Source organism: Homo sapiens, chromosome 21 (genome assembly GCF_000001405.40).
Source record: "Homo sapiens chromosome 21, GRCh38.p14 Primary Assembly".
Lineage (NCBI taxonomy): Eukaryota > Metazoa > Chordata > Mammalia > Primates > Hominidae > Homo > Homo sapiens.
This window is the reverse complement of record NC_000021.9, coordinates 31,476,663-31,503,624: the sequence shown is the minus strand read 5'-3', so window position 1 is coordinate 31,503,624 and position 26,962 is coordinate 31,476,663. Positions and strand designations below refer to the sequence as shown.

General features: G+C 46.3%; 1 protein-coding gene across 7 annotated transcripts in view, besides 2 other annotated features; it reads left to right on the top strand.

Annotated features, from left to right (window-relative positions):
* The window catches only part of TIAM1 (TIAM Rac1 associated GEF 1), a 440,670-nt gene that overhangs the window by 55,463 nt on the left and 358,245 nt on the right, over positions 1–26,962 (top strand). The gene's annotated exons all lie outside the window — the stretch shown is intronic.
* Positions 7,348–7,847: an enhancer, noted in NCBI's record as "H3K27ac hESC enhancer chr21:32868091-32868590 (GRCh37/hg19 assembly coordinates)". NCBI's record gives its function as "activates a minimal SCP1, AML or CMV promoter by ChIP-STARR-seq in naive H9 embryonic stem cells {active_cell/tissue: H9 hESC(naive)}" and the evidence as "EXISTENCE:reporter gene assay evidence [ECO:0000049][PMID:30033119]".
* Positions 7,848–8,349: an enhancer, noted in NCBI's record as "H3K27ac hESC enhancer chr21:32867589-32868090 (GRCh37/hg19 assembly coordinates)". NCBI's record gives its function as "activates a minimal SCP1, AML or CMV promoter by ChIP-STARR-seq in naive H9 embryonic stem cells {active_cell/tissue: H9 hESC(naive)}" and the evidence as "EXISTENCE:reporter gene assay evidence [ECO:0000049][PMID:30033119]".

Here is a 26,962-nt window from a genome sequence, read left to right as displayed (position 1 = left end):
ATTTCAGGTCCCTCCCCTCCCCTCCCCTCCCCTCCTCTCTTTCTCTTTCTCTCTTCTTTCCCTCCTTCCCTCCCTTCCTTCCTTCCTTCTTTCCTTCCTTTCTCTTTCTCTTTTTTTCTCTTTCTCTTTCTCTCTTTCCCTCCCTCCCTCCCTCCCTTCCTCCCTCCCTTCCTTCCTTCCTTCTTTCCTTCCTCTCTCTTTCTCCTCTTCTCTTCTCTTCTTTTTCTTTTCTTTCCTCAGTTTACTCTGTTGGCCAGGCTGGAGTGCAGTGGCACAATCTCGGCTCACTGCAACCTCCACCTCCCGGGTTCAAGTGATTCTTGTGCCTCAGCCTCCTGAGTAGCTGGGATTACGGGCACGCACCACCACACCTGGCTATTTTTTTTATTTTTAGTAGAGACGGGGTTTTGCTGTGTTGGCCAAGCTGGTCTTGAACTCCTGATCTCAAACGACCCACCCGCCGCAGCCTCCCAAAGTGCTGGGATTACAGGCGTGAACCACCGCACCCAGCCTTCTTCACCATTTTCCTAAGGGAGACACAATAGCGGATTATGGACAATTTTGACCTTGGTACATTTAGCCATGTCACTGCAACATACATCAGAGCCCAGGGTGTGGCTCTCACAGCAGGCGTGAGCCACTGCGCCCATCCTTTTTTTTCCTCTATTTTTGATTTGGCCCCTGCCAAGTCAATTTCATCATCCTAACTCAAGTAAGAGCTTGGAATGTGAGGGTGCCTTGCTTGACTGATTGGCTTTCTTTAAACTTCCTTTGCTCTCCCTTTGATGAGATGCTCCTAAGCAGAGAAATGGCTGGCAACCAAAATTGGAGAGTACAGCCACCTGGATTAGCAATCCTTGAATCATTAGGATCTGATTGTAAAGGGAAACTACGAAATGCTTTAAAGGGTGCAATCCGGAGTGAACCAGGAAACTCAAGACGGATGATCTAGGCATAATACATCTTAAGGCAGCGTCCTGAATGGAGCAGAAACTCCTCTCACCTGACTCATTATCTAGGCTTCGTGATCTCCTTTTTTTCCTAGCTGAAATCCTGTCCTTAGTTCCATTTTCCTCATGCTTGGTGCTGACCCAGATTTGGGGGAGGGTGGTAGGAAGTGGTAGGTGATGGTGGTGGTTGTGGTAGTAATGGACATGGAAGTCAGCCCTCTCTTAAAATTGCTTCCAGGCTGGGTGCGGTGGCTTACACCTGTAATCCCAGCCACTTGGGAGGCTGAGGCCGGGATAATTGCGTGAGCCCAGGAGTTCGAGGCTGCCGTGAGCCTAGATTACCTCACTGCACTCCTGCCTGGGCGACAGAGCGAGACCCTGTCTCAAAAGATAAATAAAAAACAAATAATAAAATTGCTTCCTTCCTGACAGTGTTTGTGGGCCCCTAAAATGTCCTCTCTGGTATTTCTCCTTTTACCTTTTTTTTTCTTTAAGATATGTTACTTGGCGGACTGGTTTGGTAACCTTATTAGAACTGAAGCTATTGAGTCATTAATTCTGCCAGTTGAATTCCTTGACACTGGAACTTTCCCCCAGCTCTCAAAACAGCTAAGTGAAACCTGGGGGAGAATAAATAGGATGGACAAGGCAGTGCCTGCTCTTAGTCTTACCCTGATTAAATTCCCAGGTGGCTGCGGATGGGGCATTCAGCCCGTTGGTCCCACATTTCCAAGCAAGTGGCTTCTTTGTTGTTGGTAAAAACCACTTTACAAGGCTGGGCGCAGTGCTCACGCCTGTAATCCCAGCACTTTGGGAGGCCGAGGTGGACAGATCACCTGAGGTCAGGAGTTCGAGACCAGCCTGGCCAACATGGTGAAACTCCGTCTCTACTAAAAATACAAAAATTAGCCAGGCGTGGTGGTAGATGCCTGTAATCCCAGCTACTCTGGAGGCTGCGGCAGGAGAATCGCTTGAACCTGGGAGGTGCAGGTTGCAGCGAGCCGAGATCGCGCCACTGCACTCCAGCCTGGGCAACAGAGCGAGACCCTGTCTCAAAAAACAAACAAACAAACAAACAAACAAACAAAAACCACTTCATGGATTTGGTGGGTTCCAGTGAGAAATACCAGTTTTGTCTTGAGAGAACAACAGGTAGATACGAAAGGCCAAAGAAAGCCGTCGAGCTTGGGTCACTTTGGTCAATCAGGCCCAAAGGTCACTTTTTTTCCTCCTAGTTGTGTAGATGCCTAGAAAAGTGATTTTCTGCTTTGCGTTGACTCTCTCCCCCTTCTCTTCTTTCCATCCTGATTGACCTGTGGCTTGCTGAGAGCCCATTCCGTTTTTAAAAACAAAAAAAATCCAGCACCCCGGTTCTTCACCGTTGTAACTGAGCAGCATTGGTAAGGGGCTCCTGGAGGGTGCAATGTACGTGGGGTGTGAACCAGCCTCTGCAGTAATGGAATGTGTGGTCCTGACCTTCTGGACTGCATCTGAAGGTCCTTCTTTCGCTGTATCTTTATCCCTTGGGGGAATCATTAACCCCAAATGGTGGCGAGTCCAATATGAGAGGGGCAGGGAGGAGGAGAGAGGGAAAAAAAAAGAACCAACAAAACACCCACATTTCTCTTTCTGCTGCCAGGGCGTGTTAGCAAAGATAGCCTTTCCTGAAATGTTATTTATTAGTTGCCTTTGTAAAAGTGTCCTGTTTTCTCAGGCAAGTCAAGAATTTGGTTTTTGTAGAGGGGAGGAGGATGTAGCTGTTTCCTCGGACTGCCGTTATAACATAGCACAAACTGGTAGCTTCCAACAGCAGAAATGAATCCTCTCACAATTCTGGAGGCCAGAAGTCCAAAATCAAGATGTCGGCCAGGTAGGTTCATTCTGACGGCTCCGTGGGACCGTCAGTTCCATGCCTCTTCCTAGTTTCTGGTGGTTTCTCTGAAAGCTTTGGAGTTCCTTGACTTGTAGAGGCCTCCCTCCATTTTGTGCCTCCATCATCCCTGTGTGTCTCTGTCTCTCCTTGTCCTCCTCCTGAGGATGCTAAACATACTGGATTAAAAGACTGCTGTGCCCCAGTGTGACCTCTTCTTAACTTGACCACATCTGCAGTGACCTTGTTTCCAGATAAGGTCATATTCCAAGCTACTGGGGATGTAAAGTAAGGACTTCAACATATCTTTCTGGGAGACCCGGTTAAACCCCTAACAGAGGACTTGTGTGCTGGCCTGATGTCAGCTGACAAAGGGGAAAAGCCTCGTTGGCCAAGGGTCTACTGCATGGCGGATGCTGTGTTAGACCCTTGCAGCTTCACCTTTTTGAAGGTTGCTGTTGTTCTTTCCAGAGAAAACTGAGTTTCAGGAGTGAAGTAGCTGACCCAGTCATATGCTGCCTGTCAGTGAAGAGCTGGGCCCGAATCCAGCTTTCTGACAGCAAGCTGGCCTTTCCAAGGGTGTACTTGTCCTCCTTTGCTACCACTCCTCTTTGTTTTTATTTATTTTATTTTATTTTTTGAGATGGAGTCTCGCTCTGTCACCCAGGCTGGAGTGCAATGGTGCGATCTTGGCTCACTGCAACCTCTGTCTCCTGGGTTCAAGTGATTCTCCTGCCTCAGCCTCTGAGTAGCTGGGATTACAGGTGCCCGCCACCATGCCCAGCTAATTTTTGTATTTTAGTGGAGACAGGGTTTCACCATGTTGGCCAGGCTGGTCTTGAACTTCTGACCTCAGGGGATTTGCCGCCTTGACCTCCCAAAGTGCTGGGATTACAGGCGTGAGCCACTGCATCCAGCTGTTTTTTTTTTTGTTTTCTTCTTCTTTTTATTTCCTAAGACGGAGTCTTGTTCTGTTGCCCAGGCTGGAGTGCAGTAGCTCGATCTTGGCTCACTGCAACCTCTGCCTCCCAGGTTCAAGCAATTCTCCTGCCTCAGCCTCCTGAGTAGGTGGGATTACAGGGGCACACCACCACACCTGGCTAATTTTTGTATTTTTAGTAGAGATGGGGTTTCACCATGTTGGCTAGTCTGGTTTTGAACTCCTGACCTTGTTATCCGTCTTCCTCGGCCTCCCAAAGTGCTGAGATTACAGGCGTGAGCCACCGTGCTCAGCGTTTTTTTTTTTAGTCTTAATTTTTTTTCAGAGACAGGGTCTTGCTTTCTGGTCCAGGCTGGAGAGCAGCAGCGTGACCGTTGCTCACCATAACCTTGAACTCCTGGTCTCAAGTGATCCTCATGCCCCCGTGCAGCGTGTACTGCCATGCCTGGCTAATTTTTGGTATTTTTTATAGAGATGCGATTTCACCGTGTTGCCCAGGCTGGTCTCAAACTCCTGGGCTCAAGTGATTTGTCCACCTCAGCCTCCCAAAGTGCTGAGATTACAGGTGTGAGCCACTGTGCCTGGCTGTATCTTTGTTAAAGTATGTCATTTATGTGTAAATGTGTCTCCTTCATAGCACCCCAGGGAGATGGGGTGAGGACCTTCCCCATCCCTTGTGATTGGTGTTTGTCTCCCTCCACTGGACTAGGAGCTCCTCAGCTCTGTCTTTCCAGGCTTTGCTCACTGACTGACAGAGCCAATGCTCAAGGTATCTTTGCCAAATAAATAGATCCCATCATCTTAATGTTCTGGGGGAAAAGGACCCTCTTTTCTTTCCTTTCTTCCTTTCCCCCTCCCCTCCCCTCCCCTCCCCTCCCTTCTCTTCTCTTCGCTCTTTTCTTTTCTTTTCTTTCTTCTTTTGATGGAGTCTCGCTCTGTAGCCCAGGCTGGAGTGCAGTGGCATGATCTCGGCTCACTGCAACCCCCGCCTCCCGGGTTCAAGCAATTCTCCTGCCTCAGCCTCCCAAGTAGCTGGGATTCCAGGCACCCGCCATCACGCCTGGCTAATTTTTATAATTTTAGTAGAGATGGGGTTTCACCATGTTGGCCAGGCTGGTCTCGAACTCTTGACCTCAGGTGATCCACCTGCCTCAGCCTTCCAAAGTGCTGGCAGTACAGGCGTGAGCCACCGTGTCTGGCCAGGACCCTGTTTTCTCATCCCATGTCTTGACTTCTCACTAGTCCCACACCCTTTTTCAAATACAAATATCAATCACATTTCAGGCTACAGTTCATGTGGTACAAACATGCACAGGTGTGCCCAATCAAATCCTTCCCCAAAGCACTAGAGACTGGGTCATGGAGCCGGGATCTTGGCTGGGAGAGCAACTGTGGGTTTCCTTAAGGGAGAGTGGGGGTGCTGCGGGGTCCCTTGCCTGGTGTTCTGACAATTGGAAAGCCAGATGAGCTCACCATCTTCTCAGTCTGGCTTCTGCAGACAGTAGTACCTTCTTACCTCTCTATGGTTGTCTGAGAGCTTGCTCAAGTCCCATGAAGTTTAACGTGGTGAGTCTAGGCTGGTGAGAAAGTTCATTTGTCCATTCAGAATTGCTTGCTGCTGGAATAATCTGTGATCATCTTGGAAAGCTCTTGCGTAGATCCAAGAATCTCTTTCCTTCAGTGACACACCACCAAATGGCTTGTTGGCTGTTATCTCCAAGGGAGGGAGGCTGCCACTGAAGAGGGTTGGATGCTGTTTACATTCGGGTTTGTCCTTCCAAGGAATGGGATATCCTCCTGAGGGCTTTAGCAGGTTGTGACAGTCACATGGAGGACAGATGTGCAGTGTGTCACATGATTCAGTCACAGAACCAGCAATATCAGCTTGGGGGAACAGGGCTATGGGGAATTGTGGCTTGTAAGTCAATCACATAATTTATTTTATGTGAAAGTTCTGTCCAATTTAGGCTGAAACTTGATAGAACATGTTTTTCCAAGCCCCCAGCTTTACTTGTCTGGAATGCGCCCTTTCTAAACAGGCAACTCTCCAAGCACAGTGGCTCATGAGGTGACATCTGGGCAGCACCCTGCCAGGTGGCTTTTAGCTGATTTCTTATGTGTCTCTGGCCTAAGCCACTCCAAACTGTCTGCTCGCGCTATTATTTTATTATTTTCCTTGAACATATTTTCAAAGTAATTTTATTTCCTTTATTTATATTTTGAATACACAATATGTTCACAAGGTTCAAAATTCAAAATATATAAAAGTAAATAGTGAAAAATCTCCATTCCACTCCATCTCCAACTACCCTGTTCCCTTCTACAAAGAGGTAGTAATGGTACCAGTTTCTTATCTGCCATTACGGATATAACATCCAAATAAATACATATCAGTACCTTTTCCTCTCCACTTCTGAAATGAATGGTGATATTCCATACATCTCATTTTGCATTTTTTTATTTTGCATATTTTTAAAGATCATATCAGTATAACGCTTCCTTACTCTTATAACTATTTGTTTTGATATTATTTCAATTTCAGACTTACAGAAAAGTAGCAAGAATAATGTAAAAAACTTTCATACACAGTTATGCGTTGCTTAACGCTTGGGATATGTTCTGAGAAATGTGTTGTTAGGCAATTGCATCATGGTACAGACAACATAGGGTGTATTTTCCTAAACCTAGATGGTATACCCTACAACACACCTACGCTGGATGATAGCCTAGGGGATCCCCAACCCCTGACCGATACCGGTCAATGGCCTGTTAGGAACAGGGCCGCACAGCTGGAGGTGAGTGGCAGGTGGGTGAGCATTACGGCCTGAACTCTACCTTTTGTCAGATCAGTGGTGGTATTAGATTCTCATAGGAGTGCGAACTCTTATTGTGAACTGCTCATGCGAGGGATGTAGGTTGCGTGCTCCTTATGAGAATCTAACTAATGCTTGATGATCTGAGGTGGAGCAGCTTCATTCTGAAACCATCCTCCCCGACCCCCCACCCCAGTCCATGGAAAAATTGTGCATCTAAACAAAGGAAAGATACAGCAAAAATACAGAATGAAAGAGAAAAAGTGCTACACCCGTATAGGGTGCTTGCCATGAGTGGAGCTTGCAGGACTGGAAGTTGCGGTGAGTGGGTCAGTGAGTGAGTGGTGAGTGAATGTAAAGGCCTAGGACATTCTGGACACTAAAATAGACTATAAATATTGGACACTTAGGCTACACTAAATGTATAAAAATTTTTTTTTCTTTAATAATAACAGTAGCTTACTGTAGCTTTTTAACTTCACAGACTTTAATTTTTTAAAAACTTGACTCTGTTGTAACCTGTTTAAAACATAAGCTCAATGCACAGCTGTACAAAAGATAGTTTCCATTTTTTTTTTTTTTTTTTTTTTTTGAGACAGAGTTGCCCAGGCTGGAGTGCAGTGATGCAATCTTGGCTCACTGCAAACTTCGTCTCCTGGATTCAGTCCCAAGTAACTGGGACTACTGGTGCATGCCATCACACTCAGCTAATTTTTGTATTTTTGGTAGAGATGGGGTTTCACCATGTTGGTCAGGTTGGTCTCGACCACCTGATCTCAAGTAATCCACCTGCCTCAGCCTCCCAATGTGTTGGGATTACAGGCGTGAGCCACCGTGCTTGGCCAGTATTCTCCTTCTTTACATCCTTTTTCTGTACACTTTTTTCTACTTTTAAACATTTTATTTTATTTTTTTAACTTTTTAAACTTTTAGTTAAAAACCAAGATACGGACATACTCATTGGCCTAGGCCTACACAGGAGCAGGCCAGCAGTATCACTGTTGTCCACCTCCACGTCTTGTCCTTGTCTTTTGGGAAACTCTTCAGGGGCAGTGAGAGCTCCATTGTAATCTTTTTTTTTTTTGAGACCCTCACTCTGTCACTCAGGCTGGAGTGCAGTGGAGCGATCTCGGCTCACTGCAACCTCCAACCCCTGGGTTCAAGTGATTCTCCTACCTCAGCCTCCTGAGTAGCTGGGATTATAGGCGCCTGCCCCTGCACCTGGCTAAATTTTGTATTTTTAGTAGAGACGGGGTTTCACTATGGCCAAGCTAGTCTTGAACTCCTGACCTCAGGTGATCCCCCCGCCCCGCCTTGGCCTCCCAAAGTGCCGGGATTACAGGCGTGAGCCACTGCGCCTGGCCTCCATTGTAATAAGAGCACTGTCGTATATGGTTCAGACCACTGTCACTGACTGAAATGTCATCGTGCAGTGCATGAATGTATTGCTGTGGTTCGAATGTGGCCCCTCCAAAATTCAGGTGTTTCTAGTATGATGGTGTTGGGAGGTGGGGCCTTTAAGAGGCGATTAGGCTGTGGAGGCTCCTCTGCCGTGGAGGCTCCTCTGTCGTGAATGGCATTAAGGCCCTTATAAAGGAGACTTTACGCGGCATTTGGCTCTCTTGCCATTCCACCTTCTGCCAGGTGAGAACACAGCGCTGCTCCTCTCTGGAGGATGCCACATCAAAAGGTACCATCTTGGAGGCAGAAAGCAGTTCTCCCCAGACAACTGAATCTGCCGGTGCCTTGATCTTGGACTTCCCAGCCTCCGGAACTGTGAGAAAATAAATTTCTCTTCTTTATAAATTACCTAGTCTCAGGTATTTTGTTGCAGCTGCACAAGCTGATTAAGACATACACGTTACCAAAATTCACCAGTTGTTTGCATTTCATCCCATTTGCTTTATAATTCTCTCTATATTTATCTAAATATGTATCCACACACTTTTACGCCTAACACATTTATCCTCCTACACATTTATATATGCACACTTATACACACACTGTTTTTTCCCTGACCTATTTTAGAGTATTTTGGCAACATGACGTCCCTTTGCTGCCTAAGTACTTCAGTGTGGTGGCCTGAAGAATGAGGACATCCTTGCACGTTCTCAGAGAACCTCTAATTCTATTGCACTTTTCTGCAGGTGTTGCTTTGTGCTAGTTAGGTGGGTATACATTTCTGTTAATTTTTAGGACTCCTTTTTTTTGAGACAGAGTCTCACTCTGTCGCCAGGCTGGAGTTCAGTGGTGCGATCTCGGCTTATTGCAATCTCTGCCTCCGAGGTTCAAGCAGTTCTCCTGCCTCAGCCTCCTGAGTAGCTGGGACTACAGGCATGTGCCACCACACCCGGCTAATTCTTGTATTTTTAGTAGAGACAGGTTTTCACCGTGTTGGCCAGGATGGTCTCCATCTCTTGACCGTGTGATCCACCTGCCTCGGCCTCCCAAAGTGCTGGGATTACAGGCGTAAGCCACTGTGCCTGGCTGATTTTTAGCAGTCTTCTACGCTGACTTTTCCTGCATAGGAGCAGAGAGGTGGAAAGCATCTTACTTTTTCATATCAAGCTGATAAGGTATTCTTTCTTGGACCCATAGCCCTTTCCTGGAGTGTTTGTTCAGCTTCTGTGCTTTCCTCATGTTTGCTTTGGGAGAAAGAGGATTCTTCATTGGAAATAGGAAAAGGGAGGGTTTGTCTTGATCTTGGTGCTTCATCTGTGTGCTTTTTGGATTGGATCACTTGTGGAAGAAGAAGGGGGCAAGAGGAGCTGGCATCATTAGTTAGTGCCTTATGTGTGTTCAGAGCCTGTAGAGGGTACAGAAATAAATTATTAGATGGGCCGGGCACAGTGACTTACACCTGTAATCCCAGCACTTTGGGAGGCCAGGGTGGCTGGATCACTTGAGATCAGGAGTTCGAGACCAGCCTGGCTAACATGGCAAAACCCTGTCTCTATAAAAATACAAAAATTAGCTGGGCGTAGTGGCACATGCCTGTAATCCCAGCTACTGGGGAGGCTGAGGCATGAGAATTGCTTGAACCTGGGAGGTGGAGGTTGCAGTGAGCTGAGATTGCGCCACTGTACTCCAGCCCGGGTGACAGAGTGACACTCTGTCTTTTTTTTTAAAAAAGAAATAGATCTAATTCCTGCCCATAAGAAACCTAACTCACTTTAACAAATATCTGTGGAGCTGTCTACGCTCTACCCACTGTGCTGCCAGCTGTGGTTATACATTCCCTACTTCTGCCCTGAGTGAGTGCAGACGCCACCAGCTGGTCCCTTCTCCAGCTCCAGACCAGGTCACCTGCTGCTGCTGGATCCATTTATTTCTAAAGCACAGCTCCGACGTGTCACTGCCAAGCCAGGCTATTCTTCTAACCCTTCGTTGCCTCTCAAACCAAGGCAGCCTGGCATCTGGTCCTGCAGGTCTTGCCATCTGCTTTTCTTCTAAACCCATGACTTGCCTATACATACCCTGCACTCCAGCTTATCTTGATACTCTACATTGTTCCCAGAATTCTTGTTAAAGTTTTCTGTTTTTTTGTCTTTGCTTAAGCTGTTGCTACCCTCTGAAAATGCCAGTCTACCTAATTTCCATCCTTTGGTTTCCATTTCCGATGCCACCTCTCTCATGACACCTTTCCTGAAATTCTCAATGCGATCTCTTCCTCATTTAAAGCTATCATTTTATATCTTTTTATCATTGATTGATTGTGTGTCTTAGGTTATATGTGTCTGTATTTACCCTTCACTTACTCCTCCCTGCTCCTAATTAGATTATGCATTCTTAGAAGGTAAAATTCATCTTCCTTCATGCTTTCCCTCATTTCTCACCTTCCAGAAAGAGTTCAAGGCCACTAGGGCTGTATCTGAAATATAACTGAATCCTTTGCAGAGCCTGCATGGTACCTGGAATGTAGTTGGCCCTCAGATTACGCAGGATTGAGCTTAATAAAGGTAAGAAGGTCAGTGAGTGGTTTTGATGAACAGACAGTTCCAAGCACTGGAGATATCTGAGAACATACAGATACTCATCATCAACTTAAACGACTTCATTTAAAAAAAAAATACATAACTATTAACTTCATTAAAAAGGCAACTTCATTAAAACACACCTTAAAAAATTATTTATTCCTCCAGATTCTTTCTGGTCTTTTCACTGAGCACGTATGTACCTTCTTTTGGAATCAGTATATATATGATAGATGGATTTTTTTCACTTAACGTGTGTGTGTGTGTGTGTGTGTGTGTGTGTGTGTGTGTGTGTGTGTGTAACCCAAAATATCTCAGGTCTCAATCAATTTAGAAAGTTTATTTTGCCAAGATTAACAGTGTGCCCATGACACAGCCTCAGGAGGTCCTGATGACCTGTGCCCAAGGTGGTCGGGGCACAGGTTGCTTTTATACATTTTAGGGAGAAATGAGACAGCAATCAATATGTGTAAGATGTACATTGGTTTGGTCTGGTAAGGTGGGAGAACTCTAAGCGAGGGGCTTCCAGGTCATAGGTAGATAAGAGACAAAAGGTTGCATTCTTTTGAGTCCTTGATCAGTCTTTAAAGTTTTCTGTTCTTTGTGTAAATTTACACAATTCAGTCTGGTTCAGTGAATCTGCATTCTTACATAAACAGTGTGGTGGAGGAAGCAATCAGATATGCCTTCGTCTCAGGTGAGCAGAGGGATGACTTTCATTCCTGCACCTGTGAAGATCAGCTTTCAGTTCAGAACTGTTTTCGGGTAAAGATCTTGAGGCCCACCAGGAAATTCCAAATTGTGAGGGAGGTATGTAGCTTTTTAAAATCTTTTTAGCTGTCTTATTTAGTAATAAAATAGGAGGCAGGTTTACCTGATGTAGTTCCCAGCTTGACTTCTCCCTTGGCTTAACGATTTTGGGGTCTTGAGATTCATTTTCCTCTCTTTCTCTCTCTCTGTGTGTTCATATACACATACGTATGCATATACATATACATACATATATACACACATCACATATATATATACACACATATATAAGTAATTATTTTTAATGCTTATGTAGTCTCAGGAAGTTAGTTCTTGAAGAATAACCTTGCAGGCACATAGTAGAGAAATTTTCTATCCAGTCAGATGGTGTTATCTTTTGTTTATGTCTGTTTCCTAAGCATGGAGAGTCCTACGTGAAATTCTTATCTTTAACAAGATGATTTATGTACTGATTTATCTAGCACTGTCTCCCCCACCAACCTCCATCCTTGAAAAAATTGCTTTGGAAGATTTTCTTCTCCAAAGTCTCGTAGATTCATCAATCAGTTTTATTTAATGTCTAAACTTGGGGATGACATTTAGCAGTGGGTAGTCTATAAATTGCGAAAGCAAAGAGAGCTTTTGAATCCTGGCTTTCACTGCTCCTTCTCAGATGGCCACAAAGCATCAATTTTCTACCTCTTGAATATGTCATAAAAGATATCAGTTGGTCAGCCTTCTGTTAGGATGAGTTACAGACAGAGTGTGAAGAAAGGAGGGTTGGAAAACAGGTTGGTGACCGACAGGAAGTCATCGTGAAGGTCCTGGTCGCCTGTCCTCTCCGTTCTTCTCTGTGCCTTGCTGGGGATCAGCTCCAGACAATCTGACACATTGTCTTTTGGCTTTAATATGTTTGTAAGATTCCAGACTCTTAGTAATGAGCCTTGGTATAGGGTTCTATCAGTTAGGATGGTTTTGGCTGCTAGAAACAAAACACCCAACCAAACATACCTTAAACAATATGGGGTTTAGTATCTCACATGGTGGTTCCAAGGTTAGTTCATTAATGCAGTGATGGCATCAGAATCATGAGTTCTTTCCACTTTTCTACTCCACTGTCCTCAGGTTCTTTGCTTGATCCTTGGGCTCCTTCCTTCCTTCCCTTCCTTCCCTTCCTTTCTTTCGTTCTTTCTTTCTTTCGACGGAATTTCACTGTGTAGCCAGGTTGGAGCGCAGTGGCGCAATCCCGGCTCACGGCAACCTCCGACTCCCTAGGTCAAGCGATTCTCCTGCCTCAGCCTCCGCCTCTGGAGTAGTTGGGATTACAGGCACGCACCACCACGCCCGGCTAATTTTTGTATTTTTAGTAGAGACGGGGTTTCACCATGTTGGCCAGGCTGGTCTGGATCTCCAGACCTCGCGATCCGCCCACCTTGGCCTCCCAAAGTGCTGGGATTACAGGCGTGAGCCACCACGCTCGGCCAATCCTTGGGCTTATTTCTACACAATAGCAGGGGTGGCAGCTGGAGTTGCAGCACTGCCAGTAATTGCAACAACACTTGAATGAAGAGGCAGGCATTTCTACCAGTTGGCCTCTTTTCATCTGCAAAGAATCCTTCCTGGAACTCCCCAGTCTACTTCCTGTCTTGTTCCATTGGTGGCAGCTGAGTCACATGGCCAGCCCTAACCCAATCACAGGCAAGGAGTAATGGGAGGCTCTCATTGGTTTATATCTGGCTTATTTCAGGCTGGGGCTGGGCAGCGGCGGTTCCCTGAGTCTGTCCTGGCCTGAGAATGAACTTGGATGATCAGTGTTCTGTTGACAGGGAGGGAGGCATCCAAGGGGTGCTCTTGGGAAGGCAACTAGGCATTTATTATTATTATTATGTAAAGGCTAGGTCCAGTCCTGCTGGCAGTCTAAAAAAAATCATTTTATTTCGTGTTTTAATCAATGGTGACATTTGGGTATTTTGAATCTCTGCATTTTTGGGTGTGGTATCTTAAACTTTAGAGATTCTTCTTTAAACTTGAGGATATCTGTAAGAATTTTTTTATAAAGCCACTTAATTATTTTACATAAAGTAGAATTAGAGAGGGCCTCACAGTGACCCCAAGTCATGATCACAGGGCAGGAATAGAAGAATTTGCCTCTCTGAGTTAACAAGAATAATAACAAAAAAGATTTATTAGATAATGGGCACCTCTGCATACAGTAGGTTTTTATGGTGGAAGGAGACTCCAAACAGAATTAACAGTAACACATGTACAAGTTTTTTTGGGAAAAAAATTGGAAAGGCACACTTTTCAGTGAACGCTAGAATTCTTTTCCTTTTTTTTCCTAGAACAAACTTTCATATGAAGGGCTGGATAAAAAAGTCTTCTTTTTCCTCTTACTCCTGCCAGTTAATAAAACTGCTGAAAGACAATTGTAATGATCCGGAAACCTTGTTTTTCTGGAAGTTTCTTCAAGTGCTTTGAGCATGGGCATGAACAGCCAGATGAAGTGGGATGGGGAGGGGAGGGGGATTTGACCTTCCCCTCCAGGGCTCTCCCTCTGGGGACTGTCTGCCCTGAGATGGATGAGGAGCTGACATGCTGTCTCAGACTCCAGGGAGTGTTTATCTTCAGGACCGGATCCTTACAGGTGTGCTGTGAGCGTGGCTTCCTGAGGATGGCTTCCTAAGGTCATGGTTGTAGAGGTATGATGGGTCCAAGAGACCCAGGGTGGCCCCTCCCATCTGCCAAGGGGGGGGGGGTCTGCACTTTTCCCTTAGCACAATTTTCCCTCCCTCCCTCCCTCCCTCCCTTCCTTCCCTCCCTGTCTCCCTCCCTCTCTCTCTTTCTTTCATCTCCTTCTCACTTTCTTTCTCTTTCTTTCTTCTCCTCCTGCTTCTTGTTCTTCTCTTGTTCTTCTTCTTCCCTCCCCCTCCCCTCCCTCTCCTCCTCCTCCTCCTCCTCTCCCCCCCAACCTTGTCTGTCACCAACACTGGAGTGCAGTGGTGTAATCATAGCTCGTTGCAGCCTTGAACTCCTGGGTTCAAGCCATCCTCCTCCGTCAGCCTCCCAAGTAGCTGGGACTGTGGGTGTGCACCACTATGCCTGGCCAAGGTTGCAAAAATTCTTGTAGAGATAAGGTCTCTATGTTGCCCAGGCTGTTCTCAAACTCCTAGACTCAAGCATTCCTCCTGCCTCAGCCTCCCAAATTGCTGCAATTGCAGGCGTGAGCTACTGCACCCGGCCCACAGTTATTATTGTTACCGTTTAGTTGGCTGGTGCTGACGAAAATCTTGAAATATATGCTTGGCAAGTATTTTTTTTTTTCTGATTGTAGCATGCATTTTCCTTGGAGAGAATACAATACAGGAAGGCATAGAGAAGAAAACAAAAGTTATCCATAATTTTGCCACTTATGAATAGCTGCTGTTAACATTTTTCACTTATGTTTTCCTGTCTTTTTTTCTCTTATATATCTATGTTTTTCCCTTGTTCTCCTCTTTCCTCCTCTCCCTTCCGGATAAGATTTGTGTCCCCACCCAAATCTCACCTTGAATTATAATAATCCCCACATGCCAAGATGGGGCCAGGTGGAGATAATTGAATCATGGGGATGGTTTCCCTCATACTGTTCTGGTAGTGAATAAGTCTCACGAGATCTGATGGTTTTATAAATGGCAGTTCCCTGGCATATGCTCTTTTGCCCGTCACCATGTAAGACATGAGTTTGCTCCTCCTTCACCTTCCGCTGTGATAGTGAGGCCTCCCCAGCCATGTGGAACTGAGTCCATGAAACTTCTTTCCTTTATAAATTACCCAGTCTCATGTATGTCTTTATTAGCAGTGTGAGAGCAGATTAATACACCTCCCGTTTCCCCTTCCTCCTCTTCCTTTTCTTTTTTCTGTCTGTACATATGAGGATCACACAGAATACAGATATAATTTTGTATCTCCCTCCCCATCCCCCTGAATACACTGACTGGGGTCGGACTGCCTGGATTCAAATCCCAGCTCTTCTAAGCAGAATGTGTTCATTATGTGCCTCAGTTTCCCAGTCTGTGAAACGAGAATAAGGGTAGCTATGAGGACCAATTGTAAAGCTCCCTGGAGTACTCAGTCCTGTGCCCAGCGTCGGCATAGACATTCCTGCCTGACAGTCTCCTGCCTTCTCAGCGACTACTCTTTCACATGCCCTCCCTCTGCTGTGAAGTGGGGATGAAAACCCTGGTTTCCTGTAATCCCAGCACTTCGGGAGGCCGAAGTGGGTGGATCACCTGAGGTCAGGAGTTACAAATAGACTATAGATTTCTTCCTACATTTTTGTGTTTTAAAAGGATCAAGTGGCCGGGCGCAGTGGCTCGTGCCTGTAATCCTAGCACTTTGGGAGGCCAAGGCGGACGGATCACTTGAGCCCAGATGCTTGAGACCAGCCTGGCCAACATGGCGAAACCTCATCTCCACTAAAAATACAAAAAAAGGCCGGGCGCGGTGGCTCACGCCTGTAATCCCAGCACTTTGGGAGGCCGAGGCGGGTGGATCATGAGGTCAGGAGATCGAGACCATCCTGGCTAACAAGGTGAAACCCCGTCTCTACTAAAAATACAAAAAATTAGCCGGGCGCGGTGGCGGGCGCCTGTAGTCCCAGCTACTTGGGAGGCTGAGGCAGGAGAATGGCGTGAACCCGGGAAGCGGAGCTTGCAGTGAGCCGAGATTGCGCCACTGCAGTCCGCAGTCCGGCCTGGGCGACAGAGCGAGACTCCGTCTCAAAAAAAAAAAAAATACAAAAAAAAAAAAAATTAGCTGGGCATGGTGGCGGCCACCTGTAATCCCAGCTACTTGGGAGGCTGAGGCAGGAGAATCGCTTGAACCCAGGAGGCGGAGGTTATGGTGAGCCGAGATCGCACCACTGCACTTCAGCCTGGGCGACAGAGTGAGACTCCTTCTCAAAAAAAGAAAAAAGAAAAAGAAAATCCTGGTTTCTGGCAAAGGAAAACTGGATGTCATAAGTTGCTTAGACTGGGACGTGTGAACCGTGGCAGTATTGAGCTTTTGGGCTGGAGGATTCTTTGTCGTGGGGGCTGTCCTGTGCCTTGTAGGGCTCTGCTCATGACTAACAGCCCCCACCTCCAGCTGTTTTCAGACACCATCAAATGTGCCCTGTCGGAAAAAGCTCCTTGAGTTTTAAACCCCTGGACTGGACCAGTCAGGATTTATCACCTGGATTGCCCCCAGCCCTGAACAAAACTGATGGGCAGCCAGGTTGTCAAGCACCTGTGAAGCTAGGCGTGACCTCCAGTGCCTCCTTTCCCAGCCCCTGAAGATCTGCCATCCCACATTCCAAGGAGAGAACTGCTGTGGCTGTGTCACCAAGTCTTAGCTAGCACCACTGCCTGTCCTCTCCTGACCCTAGGTGGAGACTCCTGTGGCCCCGGTGAGGAGTTGGGCAAAGCGGCCACACAGCAGAAAGGTCTCAGTGCTCCCTCGTGTGACATGCGGGGGCCTGAGTGGTGATATGACTCTCATTACATCTCAGGCTGTGGACGAGGCAGCTTTGCACAAAGTGCTTCTGCCCTGGGACTGCCCCACATCAAAGACCACCAGGCTTTACTGGTCCTTGGGCTTCCCATCAGGAAGGATGGCCCAGCCTGTTCCCCTCCTCAGTGGAGAGGACGGATGCAGGAAGCTTCCACCTGAGCCTGGCTGCCAAGCCCGTGACATGGGTGATTGGGCAGTGGTCACTGAGGAGCAGATGAATGTAAAAAGGCACAACCAAGCCCAGAGCAGCACCTCAGGGCACATAATATTTGTCGGACCTAAATTAAATGCTTTGTAAATCTTGCTGCCCAAGGAGGGACAGGCTGGTGGAGGTGCTGACGCACCCTTTGTCCCCTTCGTCCTGACCCTGTAGGATGATGCAGGACAGCGGGACGCTCATTTCTGCTGCTTCAGGTTCTAAATGCAGCCTCAGATTTGAGGGCAGGATGACGCCGGTGCAGCTGGCTTTCAGAGGGATGGTGGGGAGTTCCTTGGGGGCCACTGACTGGCTGTCAGAGGGCGAGCGTTTTCATTTTTTCCCCAGGATGATCCAGAGTGGAAAGTGTCCTGCGTTCCAGTGCTGGATGGCTGGGACTCCCATTCCTCCTAAAGGGACGCTGGTTTCACAGTGCCTTATGGCACCTCCCTCCCCACAGTTCATATTTTATTGTGGACAAGAACTGGTTTTGAATGGTGAATCCTCAGGTGGAAGAGGGGTGAGATGTGCTATTGGTTTCCACTCAGTGGTGTGCAGCTTGTTCTGAGCCCACAGGGGAGCAGATCGTGTATGTGAAGATGGTTGCTTGGAATCAGGGAATCAGAGAACCAGGCACTGCGAACATGTGGTTAGGCAGGGCGTAGAGCTAAGAGGAAAGGTTCTGGAGCTGGACCGTCACCTTGTACAGGGAACTCACCCCCTTCGTGCCTGGGTTTCCTCATCTGCAAAGTAGGAATGTTAGTAGCACCTACCCCTCAGGTAGGTGCGAAGCTTTAGTGTGCTAATACGTGTGGGGGCTTAGACCAGTATCTGGCCGTGGTTGGCACCCAGTGGCTGTTGGTGGTGGTGGTGTTGGAATTGTTGGCACCTTGCTGCTTCCCTGGGACACAAGCCGTACAAGCCCCTCCCTTCAGGAGTGTGCTGTCTCTAGAGGGCAGGCTGTCTCTGAGGATGTGAGAGCTTATTGAGGTTCCTGATACAATGGCGGCTGCTGGAGTCCAACAGAGAGAATATGGTCATTAGAGATTCCAGGTCTGAATTTTGATCTGTTATCCCAGAGTTAGCGTTTTGCTTTCTCTCTGCCTCCTCTCTCCACACTCTCAGGCAACAGTGTATTAAATGTTTTCATTTTTTTGTCTCGGAATGAGCACATGAATTTTATAGGCTCCTGGACAATGCTACAGTGAGTTAAAAATTGTCCACCCAGTAGTGCCACCTCTTGGGGTCAGAGTTATTTTATGTTCTGTGTTGTAAGATGTGAGGATGAGAATAGCCCATGTCTGAGAAGCCCCTGGGACTCCTTTCTGGGGACCAGTTGGAATGTGTGCGAGGCATGGAGTGAGGCATGCCCTGGTTTGTGGGAAGGCAGCGTGTTGCTCTACACTTGCTCTTCAGTCTCTGTTCCTCAGTGGATGTGTTATGCTACGATTGGTGCTTGTCTTAGTCTGTGTTTTGCTACTCTGAAAGAATGAAATTATTCAGAGATTGGGTAATTTATAAAGAACAGAAGTTTATTTGGCTCACGGTTCTGGAGGCTGGAAAGTCCAAGATCAAGGCACTGGCAGATTTGGTGTCTGGTGAAGACCTGCTTCCTGGTTCGTAGAAGACTGTCTTCTCACTGAGTCCTTACATGGTGGAAGGGACTGGCTTGTACTCTGAGACCTCTTGTATAAGCACACTAATCCCATTCACAAGGGCTCTGCCCTCCTACCCAGTCACCTCCGAAAGGCCCCACCTCCTGATACCATCACCTAAGGGGCTAGGATTTCAGGGAGATAGGAATTTGGAGAGGTGGGGCACAAACATTTAGGTCACAGCACTGGCTGTACTGGGGGAGCCTCAGAACGTGAAGATGGCCATGGCTGGGGTCACGGTCCTAGAAAGTCTCTCAGGCCTCCCTTCCTGGAGGAGCAGGAAGCTGAGATTACAGGATGCACAGTGCTGTGGACTTTGGGGCCTGCTTTAATAGCTGGGCCTTGAGTAGGTTTACTACTAAAGGATTTGAAACCCATAGTAGTTTGCTCTTTCAGCCTTCCTCAGTCCTTCCTTTGTGTGTTTCTCCCTGATTTTCACATTGGTTAAGAGCTGCTGTTTAAGTAATGTCCCTGCCCCGGAGGCAGAGGCAAGCTGGGTTTGGAGGCCACCCACAGTGCTAGCTCCATTGTGCCAATTCAACCAGCAGGTGTTGACGTATTGAGCTCATACCTGCGGGTATGTGCCTGCAGATGAACCGGGGAGCAAAGCACACACAGTCCCCAGCCCAGAAGCCTCTTTGTGGAGTCCTGTGGGGGACACGCAAAGTGACAGGCAGTTGGGGTACAGTGTTCTTAGTGGGTGTCTTCATCTGTTTGGGTTGCTGTCACAGAATACCACAGACTGGGTGGCATGTAAACAACACAGTTCTGGTGGCTGGGAAGTCCAAGATCAGGGAGCCAGCAGATTTGTGTCTGGTGAGGGCTGGCTTCCTGGCTCATAGACAGCCAACTTTTGCCGTGTCCTCACCTGGTAGAAGAGTGAGGGTGTTCTTTGGGGTCTGTTTTATAAGAGCACTAATCCCATACATGAGGATTGCACCTTATGACTGATCACCTTTCAAAGGCCATCACATTTCAGGTGAGGATTTGAAAGTGTGAGTTCTGCAGGGGACCCAACCTTTCAGCCTATGGCATTGGATTTTCTCACTCCTTTTCCAGCAATGACCAGGGTTCCATAATGACTTGGTTCAGTCCCTTTTTCCAAGGCTGCCTTGGATCTGCTTGGGAGTTTCTTATATTGGACCTTACTTTCCCACCAGATGGGGACAAGGGACATTGTCTCTGGTCCTATGTGCAGATTTGTCAGGCTGCTCCTTGACTGGATGCACGGACTCTGTCATGAAGCAGTGCCTCTTGCGATATCAGCTAGATTGATGATAGTGTCTCATTTTTCTTGATTTTGTAGGTATCTTGAATGCTCACAGAGCTCACATTGCTCCTGTCCTGCATATAAAACCAATCTTGGCCCCTTGGGATCCTCTGGTTGTCCCAAAATGAATGGAAGAGACTGTCAGTAGAAGCAGCTGCTTCTACTCTTAGAAATCCACATAGCAAAAAATGAGTCTCACCATGTTGAAACTGTGACATGTGTTTGAAAATAAAGTTTTAATTAGAAGGAGCAATTCTCAGCCTCAACCTGGTGCTGGCTGTCTTAACATTGAGACTAAAATAAACTGGCTCCAACTTCTTGGCACGAGACCCACTCTGTCTTTTACACACTGAATCTCGGGTTGAAGCGTGGGGTGCAGTGCGTATGTGTCTTTTCAAGACCTCAGATTTCATAAAACAAAGGAGTGGGAGGGTGCTTGATCCCATGGTGGTGGGGACTGCAGCACCATTTGCTGCAAGTCCTGTTAGTTTTGGCCTACTTATGTTTGCTTATGTTTATAAAATATCTCCTTTTTTCTAAACATAAGTCTGAGGACTTCAGGAAGGAGCCAGAGAGACAGCCCGCCATGGTGTGATACCAAGACCATGGCCTTTACAGCCAGATACACTTGGGTTCCTGTCCTTCATTTACCAGCTGTGTGACCTGGGGCAGGCTGCTTAGTGTCTGAGCCTCTGTATCCTCATCTGTAAAATGGGCGCAACACTTTCATTACCAGTGTGACCATGATTATATATACACAGTGCCCAGGGCCTGGCACAGTAGCTACTCAGTAAATGGTATCTGTTCTTCTTATAATCTCATGATTAGCACAGTCCTTACATTGCTCTGGGTCACTGCCAAGGGCTCCCATGCTGTTTTCAGTGTTACGTTGGCCTTGACTAGGGGTGCTTCTGGTTCAGCTGAGGACCGGCAAGCTTCAAATTCACTTTACCAGATGCACATGGGCAGGCAGGTAGGCGTGTCCTGAGCGTCAGCTTGCATATTGCATCACCCTTCTGTTGTGCTTCTGGGCTCCCACTCTGCGCTCTCTCCTCCCACCTCCCACCAGAAGCCATCACTAGACAGAAACAAAACAAACTGGTACTGCCTCAGAGCCAGAAAATAAGCCCTTTCTTGATTCCCTCATGCTAGGCTGATTTAGCCCAGGTGACAAGAGGGCACCATCTTTAGGTTGGTGTGCAAGGCAGAATTTCTGGTTAAGATGGGTGTGATGGGCCAGGTGCGTGCCTGTAATCACAGCACTTTGGGAGGCTGAGGTGGGTGGATCACCTGAGGTCAGGAGTTCGAGACCAGCCTGGACAGCGTGGTGAAACCCTGTCTCTACTATAAGTACAAAAATTAGCCGGGCATGGTGGCGGGAGCCTGTAATCCCAGCTACTCGGGAGGCTGAGGCAGGAGAATCACTTGAACCTGGGAGATGGAGGTTGCAGTGAGCCGAGATTGCGCCGCTGCACTCCAGCCTGAGCGACAGAGCAAGATTCCGACTCAAAAAAAAAGGATGTTTGTTATGGTAAGAAAAAAAATGTATATAAATATATATGTGTGTATATATATATGTATACACACACACACACACACACACACACACACACACACTTTGTCCCAGTTCCTGGCACACAGTTCTCCAAACCCTTGGAATCTCTGGAGCGATGGAATGTCTTTCTTTGGTACACTGGGGACCTCTTGATAGCTTCGGGATGAGGGCTGGTTTCCAGAAAGACCAAACCATGTGATTAGAGGGTTGAAACTTTCAGCTCCATCCTCTCCTTAGGGAGAGGAGAGAGGGGCGAGAGATTGAATTAATCATCAGTGGCCAATGATTTACTCACTCATGCTGTAAGATCTCTAAACAACAGAATTCAGAGAGCTTCTGGGTTGGTGAACACATGTTGGTGCTGTGAGGTGGCGTTTCCAGAGAGGGTGTGGGAGCTGGGTGCTCTCCCCAACACATTGCCCTGTGCATCTCTAACATTTGGCTGTTTCTGAGTTGTGTCCTTGATCATAAAACAGTAGTAGTAAGTCAGGTGTTTTCCTGAGTTCTGCCAGCCATTGTAGCAAATTATTGAGCCTGGGGAGAGGATCATGGGAACCCCAGAATTTGTAGTTGGTCAAGCCGAAGTGTGGGCCCTCCATCTGTAGCTGGTGTCTGAAATGGGGGCAATCTTGTGGGACTGAGCCCTTAACCTGTAGGTTCTCTGCTAACTGTGGGTAGTTAGCGTCAGTCCTGAATTGAATTGTAGGACCCTCAGTTGGCATCCAGAGAGTTGGAGCATTGGTTGGTGTGAGGAAAAACCCCACACATTTGGTGTCAGAAGTGTGAGTAAAAGCAGTTCATGATGTAGGATAGAAACAGGTACCCCAACAAGGAGCTATGGCTTAACTTGGAAGTGTTGACTATACCTTTGGCATCTGGGTTAAATCTTATTGTTGAGTGTATAGGACCTGTACACACTTGTGTGTACAGAGGAAAGGCCATGTGAGGACACAGAAAGAAGGTGGCTGTCCACAAGCCAAGAAGAAAGGCCTCACCAGAAACCAATGCAGACAGCACCTCAATCATGGACTACCAGCCTCTAGGACTGTAAGAAAATAAATGTCTGTTGGCTGGGCGCAGTGGTTCATGCCTGTAATCCCAGCACTTTGGGAGCCTGAAGTGGTGGATCGTATGAGGTCAGGAGTTCGAAACCAGCCTGACCAACATGGTGAAACCCCATCTCTACTAAAAATACAAAAAAATTAGTTGGGCGTGGGGGCTCATGTCTGTAATCACAGCTATTCGGGAGCCTGAGGCAGGAGAATTGTCTGAACCTGGGAGACGGAGGTTGCAGTAAGCCAAGATTGTGCCAGTGCACTCCAGCCTGGGCAACAGAGTGAGACTATTCTGTCTCAAAAATAAATGAATGAACAAACGAATGAATGAATGAATGAATGTTGTTGAATCCCCCAGTCTGTGCTATTTTGTTATGGCAGCCCAGGGAGACTAAGACACTTTCCCTCCTTCCTTCCAAAGGTGATAGAAGGGTGTGGCTCCATTTGCAGCCACTGCCAAGGTCAGGGCTGGCTGGTGTCCCTGCCTTTACTCTGGCATGCGGCAATGTGGTGGTTTCTTTCTTGTCTGTGCTATTTCTAGTCTTCTGTCTTCATTTAGTGGATTGGGTAGCTAAGGATGAGAAAGTTTAAGCAGTTTGCTCCAAGTCACTTTAGTGTATTAGGCAATAGAGCCCAAGGGTGCATCCCAAGCCTCCCTTGGGTAAATCCAGGACAGAGACAGTTAATTCCTTGTTTAAAAATGCAACTCATAGTGACATGTGGATGTCATTGAGTAGCAAAGAAATAAACAAAGTGGGCCAGTGACACACTACACTGCTTTGTGACAAGAGTAGGTTAACTGATTTAATGGTAAATCACAATGTAAGGGAAAGTGGACCCGAAAAGCTTAAGCTACCCAATGATGACCAGGATAGAAGTGCTGCTCTTGGAGGCTGAACCTTTTATCATCAGATGTTTTTGCTCTGCCTTGCAGCTAAAACCATTGCTTTAATTTAAAATCGATTGATTGGATGGTGGCTATGTGCCTGTCTTTGTGTTGGGCGTTAAGCACCAAGAGCTAAAATGCATAGCTGCTGTGCAGAATTAGCTGATGCTTTAGCAGGGCTGACTAAATGGACAATGGCCGCACTGTATAGTAGGTGTTCCCTAGGAGGGTGGAGAGGGGTAATTACTGCATGCTGTGAGAGCACGTGTAGGGGCATCTCAGGTGGAGGGCAGACGCCGGGAATGGCTTTTCTAAAAGAGGGAAAACAGGCAGGGAATCCCAGTGGGGAATAGGGTTTCAAGCAGAGAAAATATGAAGTGTATCAATGTGGAGATATGGGGGAACAGCCCACTTGGAGGACTTTGTAGGCACTTACAGGTACTGTTTCTTTGTCTTTCTTCTCCTCTTCTTATCCTTCCTTTTTCACTTCCTTCAGTGGCGTGTTAGTAAATTGGCTCCCAAGGTGAATAAAGAGGCCTGATTTGTAGTGTTTTGTCGATTTCTATGGTATAAATTTTCCCATCATCGCCAATTCCAAGCTATCAGCATGATATCAACTGGTCTACAAAATTCCTAAAACTTTAACAATTGGTCACAAGCCTATACAATCCCACTCCAGCAGACCTCTGCCGCTCATCCATCCTTCCATCCATCCATCCATCCATCTATCCATCCATCCTTCCATTCATCCGTCCGTCCGTCCATCCGCCCGCCCCTCCGTCCATCCATCCATCCATCCATCCATCCATCCAATCATCCATCCACATGCATAATTATAACCAGACAGAATCACAGGAATAAATCATGTTGCAGATTTTAGAGTTTTTTTAAATCAAGTCCTCTCATTTTATAGACAAGAAAACTAATGTCTAGAGAGGGGAAGTGGCTTTTTAAAATTCTGTTCATTGAGCTATTAGGACCGTTTTCTCCAGAATTCAAGTAAAGAATATGGTTTAGCAATTCTTGAGTTGAAGCAATGTGGAATCTAAGTTGTGCAGACCACAGTTGTGACAGTCCTAATGCTCACGAAGCTGTTTTTGTTCCTTGTCTCAATAGTTGCTTGTTCCCACCAGGCTCACGATTTCTTTCACAGGTAGTTAAAAATGTCCTTGTAGAAATCACATTCTTTTCCTAGTGCATAGCAGATAGTTTCAGAATCTAATTTAGCAGTTGGCTCTTAATATTTCTTGAGTCTTCGATGTTTCTGGATTTCATTTATCTCTTTTTGGGTGATGTAGTCATCTTTCCTTTAGGATTCCAACTTAAGCCACGCATTTGGGGTGTCAGCTAGCTGCCTCCACCCCATTTGTGTTGGGCTGGATTTCCTTGACACATCTATGGAGTTGAAACACTTTGGCTTCTGACAGCGTGCTTTGGAGCTTTTGGAAAGATGAATAATTGATCATTGTTTTGGTGGTCTTTAAATTGTTGTAAACTCATGGGTAGGGGATGATTCTTACCAACTTAGAAGCTTTATTTTGAACAAAAAAGACAAAAAAAGAAAAACAAAAAGAAGCTTTATTTTGAAATTGTGGACACGTTGGCTGGTGAATACTGAAATGTTCCAGAGGACTCCATTTAAAAGTAGTTTCTGTGCTATAATGTTGAGTGAAAAAGCAAGTCGCCAGGATATGTATTACGATGTGACTTTTGTGAAAAGTAGGCAAACAAATTGGCAGTTACCTCTGGGGAGTGACAATGAGGATATAATTTGTTCACTTTTAACTCTACATGTTTCTGTATGGATTGATTTTTTTAAACTTTTTAATTACAAGTAGGTAGTAAAGCAAATCCAGACTAAACAGAAAGCTTGGTTCTATTTTAAGAGGACTCATCTGGGAATGGATGACAAACTTTCTATTGTCCTTTTAAGGCAATTTGCCATTTGCCCAATAAAAAGTTTACATGTGTCTAGTTTATAAATTGTTATGTAGTAATCCTAGAAATAATTGATTTTGCTTGCTAAAAATTAAAATTGCATAGCTGTTCACACCTGCTCAATAAGGCCAGCAATCTAACCTTAAACTTCACTGCGAGTTCTCCCTTCACCTCATAATTTTTTCCCAATTCTTTCCTAATGAGGTTAATCACCTGTGCGCATGCACTGCCTAAGCTGGTTGTTATTCTGTACTCCCAGTGGTAATTCATTCTAAGAACCTCCTGGAGATATTCTGTAAACTAACATAGGGCCATTCTGTTTCTTTAGCATTTCTTGACTGTGAGGCTCTCAGCTGCCTGGGACACGGAGAGTCATTAGACTTCACTTGCTTCCCAAGGATAGCATCATGCCATGATACCAACATGCTGCCTTCCTTCCTCTTTCCTCCTAAATGAACTTCTTTCATGCAGTTGGCAGTTCTGTCCTCATCTTCAGGATGTCCTCTGGGGTTCCTGATCTCAATTTTAAAAAAATGCATTTAGAGTTTGAGACTAGCCTGGCCAACATGGTGAAACCCCCGTCTCTCCTAAAAATACAAAAATCAGCTGGGCGTGGTGGCGTGCACCTATACTCCTAGCTACTTGGGAGGCTGAGGCAGAAGAATTGCTTGAACCTGGGAAGTGGAGGTTGCAGTGAGCCGAGATTGCGCCACTGCACTGCAGCCTGGGTGACAAAGCCAGATTCCGTCTCAAAAAAAAAAAAAAAAAATGCATTTAGTTCCCTTTCCTGAGTCGCTGAACATTTGAAAAGGTGGGGAATGCGTGGATATTGTACAAGAATCGGTCAAATCAGATTGTGTTAGTCTAAAATGGAAAAATAACTGTGATTTCTTATTCAGGCATTTGCCAGCAGATTGCCTCTCCCAACTCTTTCTTATAAAAAGAATTTCAGGAAATATGTGACTTAGGTAAGTGATGTGTTATTGATGCAAAGCCCAATTATGATTACGCTTGTGGAGGAAAATAGTTCTTCTATTTCACAGACTGTGGAAACCTCCCTCTGATTAGGTTGACCCATATGAATTGCCAAATTGAGCTACCAAAAGGGCAATTTCCCCCAGTTCAACCTAAGATTGCTTATTTGCTAAGTCGTAAGCGCAGGAAATACATGTCTACATTAAGAAAGGACATGAGATGCATGTGCTCTAAGGAAGTCAGGCATCCCTTTTTTATTTGAACCTGTCTCTAATGGTTAGTGTTTACTTAGTTGACACTTGGTTGTTGCCTCACTAGCTTTCAGAAAGTATCTAGAGCAAAACTGGTTGCCTAGCAACATGTTCCAGCCCAGAAGGGTTGCAGAATGGGTCAGTGATTAACAATTATATACAATCAAGTTTAAAAATTCATAGCAGCCGGCAACATTTCTGCTCTGACCACCAGGAAGCATCAGCATTCTACTGCCCTGGGTTTTGGGCTATTGTAAGTAAATTTATTGCAGTTGTGATCTTGACCTCATGGTGGCAATTAAGAAAAACTGTTCGGGACTGAAATAGGCTCATGGCGTCCCTCCGTGCATGGATC